This window comes from Homo sapiens, chromosome 7, assembly GCF_000001405.40.
Source record: "Homo sapiens chromosome 7, GRCh38.p14 Primary Assembly".
Classification (NCBI taxonomy): domain Eukaryota; kingdom Metazoa; phylum Chordata; class Mammalia; order Primates; family Hominidae; genus Homo; species Homo sapiens.
The window spans coordinates 54,587,261-54,603,160 of NC_000007.14; positions in this window are offsets into that span (position 1 = coordinate 54,587,261).

Here is a 15,900-nt window from a genome sequence, read left to right on the forward strand (position 1 = left end):
GCTAGACTTTCCTACGACCGGCAGCACAGCGATTCATTTACACCAGTGTCACCACAAATGCCTGAGGAAAGTGTGTGCTGCAACACTGGGAAGGCTAAGCCACTAGGAGATAGGGATTTTTTCAGCTCCACTACAATCTTCAGGGACCACCATCATATTTGCAGGCCATCATTGACCAAAACTTGTGTGGGACATGGCTGGAATAGTCACAAAAGCTACCTTTCCATGTCATTGCCAGCATTTCACCCCTCCCTGCCTTGTCACCTGACCTCTTTGTTGGCCTGGTCCACCCTGCCTGACTTACCCACTCTAGGCTCATCACATTCATTATCTGAAGCTTCCAATTCACCTTAGGGGTTTGCAGTTAAGGTGTTTCTGTAATTTGGTGTGTTTCATTTTAGGTGTCTCATTTAAAAACACAGATTTCAGGGAATTTAAATGACATGGCTAAGCCAGTTACAGAAGACAGGAAAAGACAGGATTCACAGATACTGTTTTCTAAGCCAGTGTCTTCCTCCTCCTCCACGCTCCTTTCCATAAAAATGATGCCTTTCACCAGAGAAGTGTCGTGGCCGTGATGAGCCACTTAACCTCCCTGAGCCCCAATTTCCTCATCTGTCAGAGGGAATTATGAGTTCTGTCCTGCCTATCTTGTATGGCAGCTGCAAGAAGCAAATAAGATAATGTATGTGAAGAAGTTTCTGAAGTGCTAATAAAAAATTAAAAGTGTCATTTTATTATCTGCACATGAAAGACAACTCATGAGCACTGGGATTAAAAATACCAGATTTAACCTCTTACTGTGTTGCCATGGCAAATAATGAAAGCTGTTTGGGCTTAATGTTTTTCCAAACTATGAAATAACAATGTTAAACAAAATGTTCGCACAGTCCCTACTAGGGATGGAACCAAGGTTTGTGGGAAACTGATGGTGACTAATGCCTTCCCACCTACCAATTAAAATAGCCTTCAAGACATCAGAAGAAGTAGCAAACTTGCAAAAGATTAAGAGTGCTTAAGAATTCTTAGAAACGTTCTTCTTTAAAGTACAATGCCTTTGGGTTTTCAGTAAGATTACTGATTGTGCTTCGATTAAACTAAAGTCTCATTAGAAAGTTCCAAAATAAGGCCTAGGAAGACTAATGAAAATTCATTCCATTTTTAAAAGCTAAGATTGACAGTAAGTGTATTGCCAGAATTTGCAAGGGTTTTATATTAATTACAACATCAAGGAAGCTGGATTTAGAATTGTCCCTGGGAGTCTACCACATTCAAAATCCATCACACAGGGCTGCTGCTCACAGATTACAATTGTTCTTCCCCGGGAGGAAGGAGCGGCCATCCTCGGCTGAGCTGTAGCTGCTGTGAGACAGCAGAGAAATGTATGCTCCCAATCAGAGGATGAGGTCAGGGAAGACAGGAAGAGGTCCGATGTCCAAGCAATCTGGGAATTGGGGTTTTTCATCGATGCCACCATCTCTTCAACATCAGTAAACAAGCAGAACCACGTGAAGTGAATCGCTGGACATTTACTCCCAGGCTTTCCTTGTTCAGCAGTTACAGATTGGAGATGGGAACTCACAAAGGACAAGGGTGGATGTTAGAAATGCTGAGACCAATACTCCTACCCTGAAAGCAGACAATAGGTCTTGATATAGCCCTCTCTTTTAGTTCTTATTTTGCAAAAAGAGAAAATTCATGCATAAATACATTGAAAAATAAATGAACCCAAAACAGTGGGATTTAATGAAAAGGGTACATGTTGATCACAAAACCAATCAGATACAAGTGTTACTACTATGTTTTAAATAAATGTAATAATATATAAAGCCTTAAATTATTTGTAACCACTTTTCACAGTCTATTCCAAGACAAATGGATCCAAACATGGAAAAAATAATCAATATATCAATTCAAAGGTTTTGTAATCAAAGCATTATGGGGGTGGGTAAAAGGATATGTTTACAACATTATAAAAATGTTTTTGAAAAATATCAAAACATGAAATTTTACACAAAATATGGTAATAACTAATATTACCAAGTACTCACAATGTGCCAACCACATTTCTGATATTTACACATACTAACTTATTTCATTCTCATAAACATGTGAAGTAGACACTGCAGTTTTCTCTTTTGAAGGAAGAAACTTGATTCAAAGAGGTTGAGTAATGTGAATCTGTGACATAATGTCACCAAGACAGTATGGTAGAATCTCAATGACTCAATGTCACCAAGATGGTATGGTAGAATCTCAGTGACTCAATGTCACCAAGATGGTATGGTAGAATCAGAATTTAAAATACTCTCTGGTTTCAGATTCCTCACTTATAATGACAGTGCTACATTAACAACAGCAACAACACATATGTACAGTATACACACATACAGTATACACATACACACACAACATATACAACATATACATATAGTGTACACACATACAGTATACACACACATATGGTATACACATATACAACATATGCATACAGTATACACACAGTATACACACATATAGTATACACGTATACACACAGTATACACACACAGTATACACACAGTATACACATACACAGTATACACATATACACACATACAGTATATAACATATACACACAGTATACACACATACAGTATACACATATACACACATACAATATACAACATATGCATGCAGTATACACACAGTATACACACACATACAGTATACACATGGGCAGTATACACACATGCACACACATGCAGTATACAACATGCATACAGTATACACACAGTATACACACATATACAGTATACACTTATACACAGTGTACAACATATACATACAGTATACACACATACATAGAGTATACACATGCATACATACTATACACATATACACACACAGAATAAACATACATAGAGTATACACATGCAGTATACACATACATACACACATACATTATACAACATATATATACAGTATGCACACAGTATACACACACATATAATTAATGCTAGAAGGCTATACACAGGAACACTATTGATTGTTGTATTAAGCTATAGGACTCAAGGATATTTACAGTCTTGTACAACTTAATAATTTTTATTATGAAAGCCCCTCTATTAATACTTCTAAAATGTTAAAGTACTTTATCTAAAAAAATAATTTTACCATCCATCGACTCAGACATGAGCAACAGGATAAACATAAACAGTACGAAAGACACCATCTGTACAATTGTGTAGACAAATCCAAGTGTATTTTATTCTTGTTAAAGTAAGCATGTTGATTCAGTGATGTATTGTTTCCAAGTTGACTTAATTTAGGTGGCCTATTCCATTCTTTCTATTTAGGGCTTCTTTATTTCTTTAGTTGTATTTATACATTGTTTAAAACAATGCTTTTAAATCAGATAGTATAAAAAGGTAAAATCATTAATAATATTCAAATAAGTGGACCAGACCGTAGAACCTGAAAGGAAGTAAACTGTGCACAACACATTCAAGATGATGCAGTGAGTGTGAGTTTAAACTACCTGTTGCTCAGGCCATGTTGAACAGGAACTAGTGCAAGGAGCACAGGCTCAGGCAGCCACATTTTGGGATCATTTCAGATCTTAAACCCTGTGCATCAATTTCTCCTTCCATAAACTAGGGATAATAATAGAACCTGTATCATAAGGTTGTTGGGAAAATTAAATAAAATGTTGTCATAAAATGTAATGTTGGTGTGAGGTTCTTTTGTTTGTTTGCTTTTTTTGATACGGGGTCTCACTGTGCTGCCCAGGCTGGAGTACAGTGTTGTGATCCTGGCTCACTGCAGCCTCAACCTCCTGGGCCCAAGCCATCCTCCCACGTCAGCCTCTGGAGTAGCTGGGACTACAAGAACACAGATTCATGCCCGGCTAATTTTTTTCAGTTTTTGTGTAGTGACAGAGTCTCACTAGGTTGCCTAGACTGATTTTTAATTAGAACAGTGCTTGCTATATAGTAAGTGTTCAAAAGATGTTAACTACTATTCTGATTTAGGAAATAAGGTAACGGGCAATGGAAATAAGCAGCACCATGGCTTCCTATGTTCCCTTACAGAAAGGTAATTCCTGTGGGTAGTGGGTGGATAAGGCTGCCTTGGATGAAAATGAATAGACTAGAGCCTTTCTACCCCGTGTGTTTCTGAGATTAGCAGCACCTTCATCACCAGCAAGTTTGTTAGAAATGAAGAATCTCAGCGCCCTCCCACATGCCTGAATCAAAATCTGCATTTCAGCAAGACCTCCCGGGAGATGCTGTTCAGGAAGCCCTGATCCAGAGCACAGATGCACAGACGCGGCTTGTTATTGTGTGGCTGTCCTCACACCTGAGGTCAGAGGCTTGGCTGCATGCTACCCCTCCAGCCTCCTTCCTGAGGTCTCTGGGTTCGGGAGTCCCATCTTCATTTGGTGAAGCACTCCTTCAGCCAAACTCGGCCCGGCCAAGACAATCACCTGTCACTAATTTTCCTGCCATTCGGTTTAAAGCCTATGATAAAGAAAATATCTAAAAAGAAATTGCTATCTGAAATTTTGATTCTATTTTATTTCTATTGCAAATTGCTTCTAGCAGAACCTGACAAAAATAACCCCTGCTCTTTCTGAAAATGATCACGAGTCACCATAAGGGCACAGTATGCCTTACTAAATTACACTGTCAACTGGAAATTAGCAATTGACCTGCGCATCCCTTTTTAATAAGAACATCCCTGCTGGTATTGATTTATAGGGAGCATTATTTCCTATTGCAGTATGAGTAGTAATAATTTTTCCTTGGAGGCACCTTAAGTTTTTAAGAGTTCCTGTAACAAAGGAGATTTTAACAAGGCAGGAGTAATTTTATGTGATTGTAGGCTGTTTGTTATGCACTGGTGATTTATTTAATTGAACATGATAGAGAAGACTCCAGTATTACAAATACACATCACCAACAACCGCTTTACACGCATCTGAAAATAGAAAGGGAACACGAGATGATGAAAGCATCGAGGCATTTTTAAACTCATGAAGAGAAAAGGCACTCAGGAAAAGTGGACATCTAGAATGTCCACTTGTCTAGTTGGTATTTAATTTGTCTACACACTGAGCATTCTATATTGACATTAGTAGGTGTTAACTCCTGGGCTCATACCCTGTGTCCTAACATGACTGTAATTATCTGCTCTTATTCAATGAACCAGATTTTTGGTGTCACTCTGGTTTTCTTGACTGCTTTGCCCACCAGTAAGAGAGAGTGTCATTGAAATGGAGGAAGGTGATTACCATTTGGGCAGATGCCTTGGTAATCTCAAACTTTCAAAAGAGAATATCAACACTACCTCAAGTGATTATTTGTTAAGTCAAGTGGCTTGTTCCCCATTAGGAAGCAGATTCAGTGCACTCAAGCTACTCATCTGGGGCACACAGCCTTGAGCTCATTGCTACTCAGAATTTATTAAAATTCTATTGAGCTAATCCACACTTCAGGGGAAAGACTGCTATCTTTCCCTGCCTGAAGATACTTCCTCATCTCTAAGTCAAAAGAAATCAGACATCTAGGTAGCTAGGCCTTGTCACACTGGCCATGAGAATACTTACTCTCATTCTAGTTCACTTTAGTGTGATAGCACATACATCTAATGAGTATCATATGAAAAATAAAAAAGCTGTGAACACATTAACGGAGCTTATGTAAATGATGCTGTCAAGGATAATTTTATGTACCGCATGCAGTGATTATCTCTGAGAGGAAGTCCTCTTCGGTGCTCATAAGAAATTAGTTGTATGTCTTCTGAAAATTTAGTTTATTTTCATCTTGTGGACAATGATTTATGTAACGAAAAGGCTTTCCTTTCTGCTTTCTCTGCTGGAAAGCTTCTGGCTGACCCAGTTTTTTCAACTTTGTCTGATTTCTGGCACCATTTTTTGTCTCCATCTTTAGTCTATTTTCTGATGCGTCCACTTTTAACATTTATTATCTGCTTGGATTTTAATTTTCTTTGTAAACTACCATAAATCTTTAATAAGAAGTAGGTAAGTTAACAGCAGAGACAGGTGACTGCCATCAGGAGACCATGTGCCCACCCAAAGCCATGCACACATGAAGGACACATCCTTCTGAACAATGCATCTAGAAACCACCATGGGCATCCTATTGTGCACTTTAATTTCTTATTAAACAAAATAACAAAACGAAATTGCATTGATAAAACAAGGCAAAACTTTACTGACCACGAGATTCTTATTCCTGAGATAAACAGGCAAATGGGAGAAAAGGAGTTTTAAATGAAAAATAACTGATGCTTACTCACCTCCTCCATTTACATGAATAAAGATAATTTCTATTTATGAAAACGGTCCCTCTTTAATAACTCTCTAGAGGTTCTTGACTTCTGAAGAATTTTCCTCTGAGAGATTTTACATTATCAGGAATACCTTGAGATGGAGGATTAATTTAAACTATTCCCTGAAGCCAAGTGAAGAAACTTTTTAAAGCAAGAACAGAAGAGCAAGTTGTTTAACTGCTGCTGTCACATGGAAAAAAATGAGGACCGAGAAATAGTAGTCACTGGAATTGAAAACATAAATATCACAAATGACCTTGAGTGAGGTTTCTGTAGAATGGTAGGAGTGGAGGCTTGTTGCACGGGTTCAAGAAGGAATGAGAGAATGTAAAATGAAGGAAAGAAGTGTAGAAAATGTTTTCAAGAAATTTTTCTAAAAAATGAGCAGATAGGGAGGGCATTGCTGGAGGGGAACACAGAGTCAAGGGAGGACTTTTTTAGTTTTTTTTTTTTAAGCTTACATGTATGATGATGAAAATGGTCCAACAGAGAAAAAAAAAAAACCTAATAATATAAAACACAGATGATTCAAGCACGTGCCTGAGTCAGAAATAGGGAATAAATGTGAGTACAGGAATAGAGGAATCAGCTTTAGAGGCAGAAAGATGTAAATTTAATGGAAGACAAAGGAGGGAAAAAAGCATACACATAACACACACAGAAAGAGTGAGTGTGTGAGAGAGATGCAGGTATATTGGTGCGGGAGCTATGAACGTTTTCACATTTACATTTTCTCAGAGAAATAGGGAGGGACTAAAGGAGACCTCTGGAAAAGTGGAAATTAAAAAGACTAGGGAAATATGGAATTACTGTCACCAAAAACTCTCTCAAGTACACTGATTGTGAATTTAATGTGAGACCCACCAGTATCATTGCATGTTTTCCGCTAGTCTCATTTAAAGTGCATGGGGAATTGGAATTAACTGCATGGAACATTTTGCCAGGAATAAAAGGAAAGTATGTGAAAGTGACAACAGCAAATGACAAGGGGGCTTCTTCGGCTAGGAACGAAAGGAAGTGCGGCATGTGTGGGGTCTGAGGGACAGTGGCAAAGCTGTGGAGCAACTGATTGGAGGATTCCGTGAATGAATGAAGTTGGAGTGTAGAGAAAGGAAGCAGAAGTGATTCAAAGTGGTGGTTAGAGAGTGTAATACTTAAAATTGAGGTTGTGGAGGGGTTGTCATTATTGGTAATAACAATATTAAAGGTAAAAATAAATGACTGACCCTTGATTGTGGGCAAGATTACTAGAAGTGGAAAACTCAAGGAAATGAGAAGTGCCAGGGTATTAAAAACATTTTCCATGAAAATACTGGCATAACCAAGAGAGTATGAATCATGAGTTGTTAGAATAAAAAGAACACCTAGGAATACAAGTGAAAGCCATTCAAAAGAAAATTATAACACATGATTACAAAACAAAAGAGCTGAAAAAGTGAGAGATTTACAATGTGTTCGTAGATAGAAAGGCTAAATATCATAAAGATGACAATGCTTCCCAAATTAATCTATAAATTCAGAGTAACTGTCATAAAAATCTCGAGTTATTCACAGAACTTGACCAGATTGAAAAGTAAACAAAAACAGAGCTACATAAAAAATCATAATTGTGAAATTTTGAACATCAAGGATAAAGAACAAATCTTAAAGCCTCCAAGAAAGAAAACCAGCTCAAGAAAGCCTTTCAAAGGCCTAGAGATCAGTAGGGCATTTGACTTTTCAGAGCATTTCTGACACCGAAAAACAATGCGGCAATGAATTCAAAGTTGAATATTTCAAAAAAAAATTTTAAAGGAAGAAGACAAAGATCTCCTAACTACTCATTCTCAGGAAGTTAATGGAGACTATACTTCATTGGAGAAAAGTAGAATACAGGCCAAGAAATTAGAAGCCATGAGATCTGCGGTGAGAGAGGAGAAGGAACGTCTCAGGAAGGCAGTTATGAAATGCGTCATAAGTTTTGCTGCCCAGAAAGAGCCTCTTAACAATTTTCCCTAAATCAATGATTCTCAAATAGTAGCTCTCAATTCACCTGGAAACTTGTGAAAAATGTAAATTCTCAGGGCTCTTCCCAGATCTACAGGATCAAAATCCCTGTGGCTGGGGACACAGCAATCCAAATCCACACTGCATTTAGCCCTCTCAAGGCTTCTGCTGCAACACAGGTGTGAGAGCCTCTGGCTGGGTGCCCCAATTCTCAGATGTCTTTCTTGTCACACCTATTTCCCTAAGGCCTGTTCTAGGTTTCTAACATGGGTTTATTTTTTAATGAGTTTTAGTCTTATTTTGAAAATAATACATGATCTCAACTGATATTTTGGAAAATATAGAAAAACATAAATGAAAAAGAAAAATCCTCTACAATTTCATAATCCAGAAAATAATATAGTAAACATGTATATATATATATTTGAATTATGTGGCATATACATTTTTAATATTTTTATTCAAATTTATATAATATTTTCTATATTATTCAAATATCTTCTAAAACCCTATTGTACTGCCTGCATGTTTCATAATATAGTAGTAGTATGATTTATAAAAATGCTCTTTTGATATAGGACTTAAGAAGAAATTACTTAGGCAGATAGTGAGGGTATGGGAGTCCTCAGTAAGGTTTTTGTTTTAATGAAAAGCAGCCCCAAAACCAATTTCTTTTTCAACAAAGAGCAGCCTGTAATATCAAGCTGCAGACATAGACAAGCAAGCTGGAAGCTTGCACAGAGGAATGTTGGCAGTTGTGCCAATAGGAAAAAGCTACCTGGGACTAGGCATGTTCAAAATGGCGGTTCTATCTTCCCTTCTCTTTGCCAAACCACAGGTACAGTAAGAAGAAAATATGGCACCAGCCAGGCAAAGACTCCATTTGCATAATAATATTAGGGTGGGGCAACCAGCCTTCTCCGTGTGCTATGTAAACGTCACACCTGATCAAACCAATCTGTGGGCCCTAATTAAATCAGACACTGCCACCTCAAGCCTGTCTATAAAATCTAGTGCAGTCTGCCATGGGCGGGATTCTCCTTTCAGAAGCCCCTCTCTCTCATAAGGGAGAAAGCTGTTCTCCTTTCTCTTTCTTTTGCTTATTAAACCTCCGCTCCTAAACTTGTCATGTGTGTCTGTGTCCTAAATCTTCTTGGCAAGAGACAGTGAACCCCAGGTATTTACCCCAATGATACCACTTCACTTTTATCGATGGTTCTTAGAATTGTTTGAAAGAATATGTAAGCTGAAATGAATTTCATGATGCTTCTTTGTGGTTCTGTGTCATGGTTACAGGCACAGACTTTGCAGGCAGAGACCTGAGTGTTACTCCAAGATGTGCCATTCACTAGTTGAATAGGTTTTTGCATGTAATTCACCTCTCAGAGTTTCAGTTCCTCATCTGTAAAATGAGGATGTTAGAATTCTTCATCTAGAATCATAATGAGGCTTGAACAGTGTAATAGAAAAGTGGTTAGTCCAGTGCCTATCTGTAACAACTGCTAACAAGCGTGAGGCTGCAGTAGAAATAATATTGATATCAGGAGTAATAGTCACATGTCTCATTATTGGGTCTTATAAATTGTTAATACATTATTGGGTTTTAAAGCCAAATTTATTGTGGTCACAACTTGGATTGGTAAGTCTTTTGTTTTCCCTTCCAGATAATGTTTTATTGCTTTAACATCTAACTGATAATTTGTGAGAGTGGTCATCCTATCAAATCCCTACCAGCATGGGACATCTGCCATGACCGTTTAATAGGCAAAAGACAACACATTGTTGTAATTTGTTGTTGTTTATGTTAACAGTGTTGATCAATAGTAAACAACAATGTATTATTCATTTAAGCATTTATTAAGAGGGTGGATGTTACATTAAGTGTTTTTACCACAATAAAAATTTTTTAAGTGTTAAATATTCTTTATGCACATAAAAATTATATTTCCTAGCACTAAATCTGCCCAAATGCTTTGGTTAAGCTTTCATGGAATATTGATAGTGGAGGTGACTTCTGAAAGTAGGCTACTAATGTTTCCCTGAGAAGCATGGCGGGTGGTGTGGAGGGCTTCATTCTCAGTAGAGTAAGGAGCACACAGGAGGAGGTGTGGAATGAGGAGGACTTGAGAGGCCGTGATCTGTTTAATGTACCCCGGAAATATGTGGGTAGAATTTCAGAAAACAAGGATGGACAAATAGAGTGCAGGTTCTTTTTAAGCTATGGTAAGTTTTGTAAACTTTGTTTACAAAACAAAAATTATTTAATCAATTAATTTGCATTATCAGATTTTGTTTTAGAATCATAATTGAAGGCAGTGAAGAGGACAAGTTGGAAAAAAGAAAGCTGAAACACAAAATGTCAGGCCTTTGGAATCATCTAGAACAAGGTTGTCCAAGGCAGAGAATACAGCTATGCGTTCTTAGTTTCTGTTTCTGGTTGGGCCAGTAAACCCCTTCCTCATCCATTTTTTCCGCTTATCACTGGAGACAGAAACTAAAAACCATGGCTTCAGGCTGCTAACAGCCTAAAACAAAACAAAACAGAACAACACCACCAACAAAATAAGGGGAAGATAGGTTGGACAAGCTTGGTCTAGAAGAAAGAACAAAGCCAGTGGCTGAGGAGATGTGAAAAGAATGGAAGCAAGGACTGTTTCCGAGGTAGAATCTCTAAGTTTGTGAGCAATTGGATTTTAGTGCTAAGAGAAAATTTAGCACTGTAATTTTTACCTTGACCAAACAAAATGGGAATTTTCACCCTAACGACTTGGAGAATATGAGGAAAAGAGGAGGAATACATGCACACACATGCATACACACATACCCTTTATTTTGGGGATTTTTTTTCTCCCATTTTTCAAACTGTCTCCCTTCTCATTTTAACAATCTCTCTTGCTGCTGACAATCTTTTCAAGCAGTGCTCTGTGTCTGAATTTTTTTTCTTCTCCCCAATGTGTTCCTCCCTTCCAGTACTGGAAACATAGCTTCTGGGCTGAATGTCTTACTTTTGCTCCTCTAAATCTGGTCTTCACCTTTCGTCATCCTGTTGTGTGTCCCTGAAGGCTGATCAATCACACCTTGGTAAAGGGGGGTTCCTTGCCCCATCTTGCAGTTAGGCTGCCGATAAGGACCACCAGCAGAAGGGAGAAGGAGCAGAAAGGAAGAGGGGTTGGTTTTCCAGGCTCCAGCCCTCTCTGCAGGAGAGTTGCTGGCAAGGGCCCCAACCACCACACAAAGCTCTCTCTCCATCTCTCCAAATTGGTTCTGAGGATTTCGGGACGCTTCCCTTCCCTTCTCTTCTGGCTTATTCAGTCCTAGAGTTGGGAATGGAGCCTTCCCCCACTACTAAATCAGGGGTGCTGTACACTTCTTTTTGGTTTCCCTACATTCTGCCCACATCTATGTAAATAGTGCCTTGATTAAACTGTTGTCAAATTGCTCAAATTGAGTGTAACATCTGTTTCCTGCTGGGATGTTAACTGATACAGAAATTGGTACTAGAAATAGCTCCAGGAAACAGCCCCTCAACATGGGATTCTAGGATTGAGTTACTCTCTTTGCCATAGGGAAGGGGGACATGAGTAACCAACTGCATGTGGGAGATCATGATTATTCAAATTAAAGTGGAAGAGAATAAAGGGCAAGTAGAGGGCAAGTTGTTAGAAAATCGAGTTGCTGTAGCAATTAGTCCCTATAGTGAGAATATGGATTGCAAGATCATGGCATTATGTGGATTTCTGATAGCTTTAGAGCAGTGGTTCTCAACTGGTGGCAATTTGGCCCTCCAGGAGACTTTTGGCAATGTCTGAAGACGTTTTTGATGGTCATAACTTGGGGATGGAAGGTTACTATTGGCATCTAGTGGATAGATACCAGGGATACAGTTAAACACCCTACAATGTACAACCACTGCAGTTATCCAACCCAAAATGTCAACAGTGATGAAGTTGAGAAACTGTGCCCTAAGGTGGACTGGAAAGCAGTGAATATCAAATTAAGAACATGTGTAGAAATCAAGAGTCTCTGCAACAAATTTGAAAGATCTCCTTATCTCCTGGAGTCAGGGGGCAGGTGGGATGAAAGACCAAGCCAGGCATCTGATCACAGAACTGCAGAGGAATACTTAGCCCTCACAGGCCTCGCACACCAATATCAGTGTCCTGCTACAGAGGCATGGGCCCATAGACAATAGACCCAGAAGACAGGCTCAGGATGTAGAACTCCCACATCTTTCTGAGAGCCCCTTAACTTCCCCATGAGAAGGAGCCAGTCTTCCTTTGCATAAAACCTTAGAAATGTCTTTACCTAAACCATTACGCCACAAGCTGATGCCAGTTTTCCTCAGAACACACCCTCTCCTCCATGCCTACAGGCCCATAGTTAAAGTTAGATTCCAGTACAGCCAGGACAAAGAAGTACCAGGGCTTCTCTGGAAAAGGATATCTATCAGAAAATGTCTACTATCACGCCAAACTCTATCGGCAGGGCCTGGGGAGAATGTGAGAGAGTAGATTGCAGGGTGCATCAGACCAAGGAGACTTAGGCATGAAGTCTGAGCAGGTCATTGTCAATAAAATCTCTGCACTCACTTCAGGCTTTGTATTTAATGTGCTGCATCCAGCTCTTGGGCTAATGTAGATCATCCGCTAGGTTGGCTAACTGAAGCTGAAACTCAACAGTGGTTTACAGTCTGTGAAGTGCAAATCCTGCAACTACCCTGGCATGTTCTGGCAGAGATTCTCTGGTCCTATCAAGGTCATCTGGGGAACTTGCTAAAAATACAAAAAGCTACTCTGCTACTAGTCTTCTCTACTATTCTAGAGCAGTGGCTTTCAAACTCCAGTCACATCAGAGGCACTTGGGGGAGCCTTCAGAATTCACAAAGCTTAGGTCACCTTCCAGACCAATGAAATCAGAATCTCTGGGGGTGGCACCAAGCACCAGTGCTTTTTGAAGCTTCCCAGATGATTCTACTTGGCACACAAGATTGACAATCACCAGAGGAAGGAGTCCAAAGGTCCAGAGGAAGTGTTGGGTTCTTTGGAAGCGGCCCCTGCAATGTGAATTTAGGAGTCTATCACGAATCCCCCCATGATGTCACAAAGGAGTCTATCGACATTAATCAGTATACTGATGCAGTGAGAACAAGGACATTCCAGGGTGCTTCAGAGCACTGTGACCCCCTGTGCTCTGCCCACACATTTGTAAAGAGTCTCTTTATTAAACTGTCCTCAAATTAGACTAGCTCTGATCTGACTCTGACTCTAGCTCCCCATCTATGCCCCTGGAGACATAGATAGTTGCTGTGTCCCCTGGCCAAAGTGGCACATGAAGTTGAGGTGATAGATGGAGCCATGAACTGTGTCCTTCCCACAATGGAGCTAGAAGGACTGGGGGTTCAACCTGCGGTGCTGCGCCAGTCCCTGAAAACACGGTAAAGATGATAGACTCTTTAATAGACTCAACTGCTGAGAGAATTTCCTTGTTTCTTTTCTGGTCAATAAATTAGACACCAATCCAGTAGAAAAGGCTAGATGGAAGCCCCTGGAAATGCTTCCCTTCCCACTGGCCTCACCAAGACCGTCAACCATAATAAAATACCATTTCTGTAGAGAATTTAAAAGCTAAATGTTCCCACTGAATGTTTAAAAACTGCTTGAGTAACCTATCACATCCTTGTTCACCTCGCCTGCTTGCCTAGTACAAAAGGGACATGGGTCCTGGACTCCCTCACCAGCAGTCATGTGGCTGACCCCTACTGTGGTGTGTGCAATTGACCAACCACAGAGTGTGACTTCCCACATGAGGGCGACCAGCCTGCTACCTGATGGCAAGTTGTTATCTTGGACTCCTTTCCTCGGAGAGAGATTACTGACTTCTCTTCACAGGGACAGACACACCGTTGGTAGAAATTGGGTCTCCATTGCCTCTGCTTCTGCCAATGCCACATTCACAGTCCTGTGGAATGTCTCATCCATCTTTGTGTGGTCCTGCCCGTACTACATCTGTTCCAGAAGCTCGTTTTCTGGTGAAGGATGTGTGGCAATGCAATTCAGTGTTCTCAGCACCTGCTCTTTATCCCAGATGCTGAAAGTTCAGTTATTATAGCAGCTGGGAGACAGCATTCTGCCAAGCTGGGTACCATCTTACAGGACACAGTGGATCCCTTAACTAGGGGCTAATGAGTGGTGCTGTATCACCTATGGTCAGACTCAAGAATCAGGGCATGGAGGTAGAAGTGTTCCTGGTTACTAATAGAAGTCTGGACAAATGTTTGATTTGAGTCCCTAGAATCTCAGCCGCATTAGATTCAGAGGTTTTATGCCCAAGCAAACTATGTTTCACCAAGAAACATAGTCATGATTCGACAATTTAGAAGCAGAGACTTTTTCTGGGCCATTTTGGACCCTTCATATCACCAAACCAGCAAACAGAGAAAGGGCTACTCTCTCTTATCAGATATGAGAGCAAGGAGGACCAATGACACCAGAACCAGGAGATTCCTTGTCACTAGAGAACTACGGCCATTGGTGAAGATAGAACACTCTTGACCTCATGGCACAGCTACGTGAAGATGTGGGTCGTCTCTCCAGGCAAAGGACCTGCTAGATGCAGACTAGCAGAGCATAACGAGAATACAGAAAGGCTGGAGTAAGACGACAGTGATGAGTGCAGCAGAGGCCATGTGGCGAGCCAGCTCTGACGCACAGTACTCTCCCTTGCTTTCATTCTCTGCTGCCTTACCACAGGCCCCTGGTTGCAGCTAATATTTCAGGCTTCAGGCAGGAGTATGTCATATCAACATCTCCCCATGATGATATGCTAGCTGCGGGGATTTTCTGGGTTCCCTATGTTGAGGACATGGGCTTCTTACCTGGATGAAGGACAGCAGTGAAGGCTGAGGAACCAGTGGTACAGACTGATGAGTACTGTACACTGGCCCCTTAGATCCACAGATGCTGTGTGCCCTGGGAGCGCCATCAATGAGAACAGAGCCCGTGGGCTCTGGCTTCCGGTTTAGTGTAGACCATAGGAAGCCCTAATAAGAAATGGAAGGATGGTGAGGGGTGGAGAGTGAGGTCAGGGTCCTATGGACTAGCAACTGGCTTCCACAGAGGTGATGGGTGCCCAACACACAGCTTGCATCTTCTCTAGATCCTGGTTCGCTGCTTCGGCCCTTTGCCCATCAGGCCCGGGGTGCTCCAGAGCACGGTGCTTCCTCACCCCCCTCCCCACACACGCCTCCCTGTGCTCTGCCCACACATTTGTAATAAGTCTCTTTATTAAACTCTCCTCAAATTACCCAATTTAAGTGTGCCATCTGTTTTTGCCAGGACCCTGACTGATACAGTTTCTCTTTTAATGAGTTTTTTTGCTATGTTTTTTTTTCTTTCTATGCTATATCTAAAAGGATTTAGGAATTTCTAATTAAAAGGAAAGTTTGTAAAAAGAAAATCAAAATGCATCTTTCTTTTCTTTTAACATTTTGGGATGATGAAATTCTAAAGAGCCATGATTTTGGATTGCAGTCTGCCAAATTACACTGTAAATAGCTTTGATTTGGAATTGTGTGCCCTA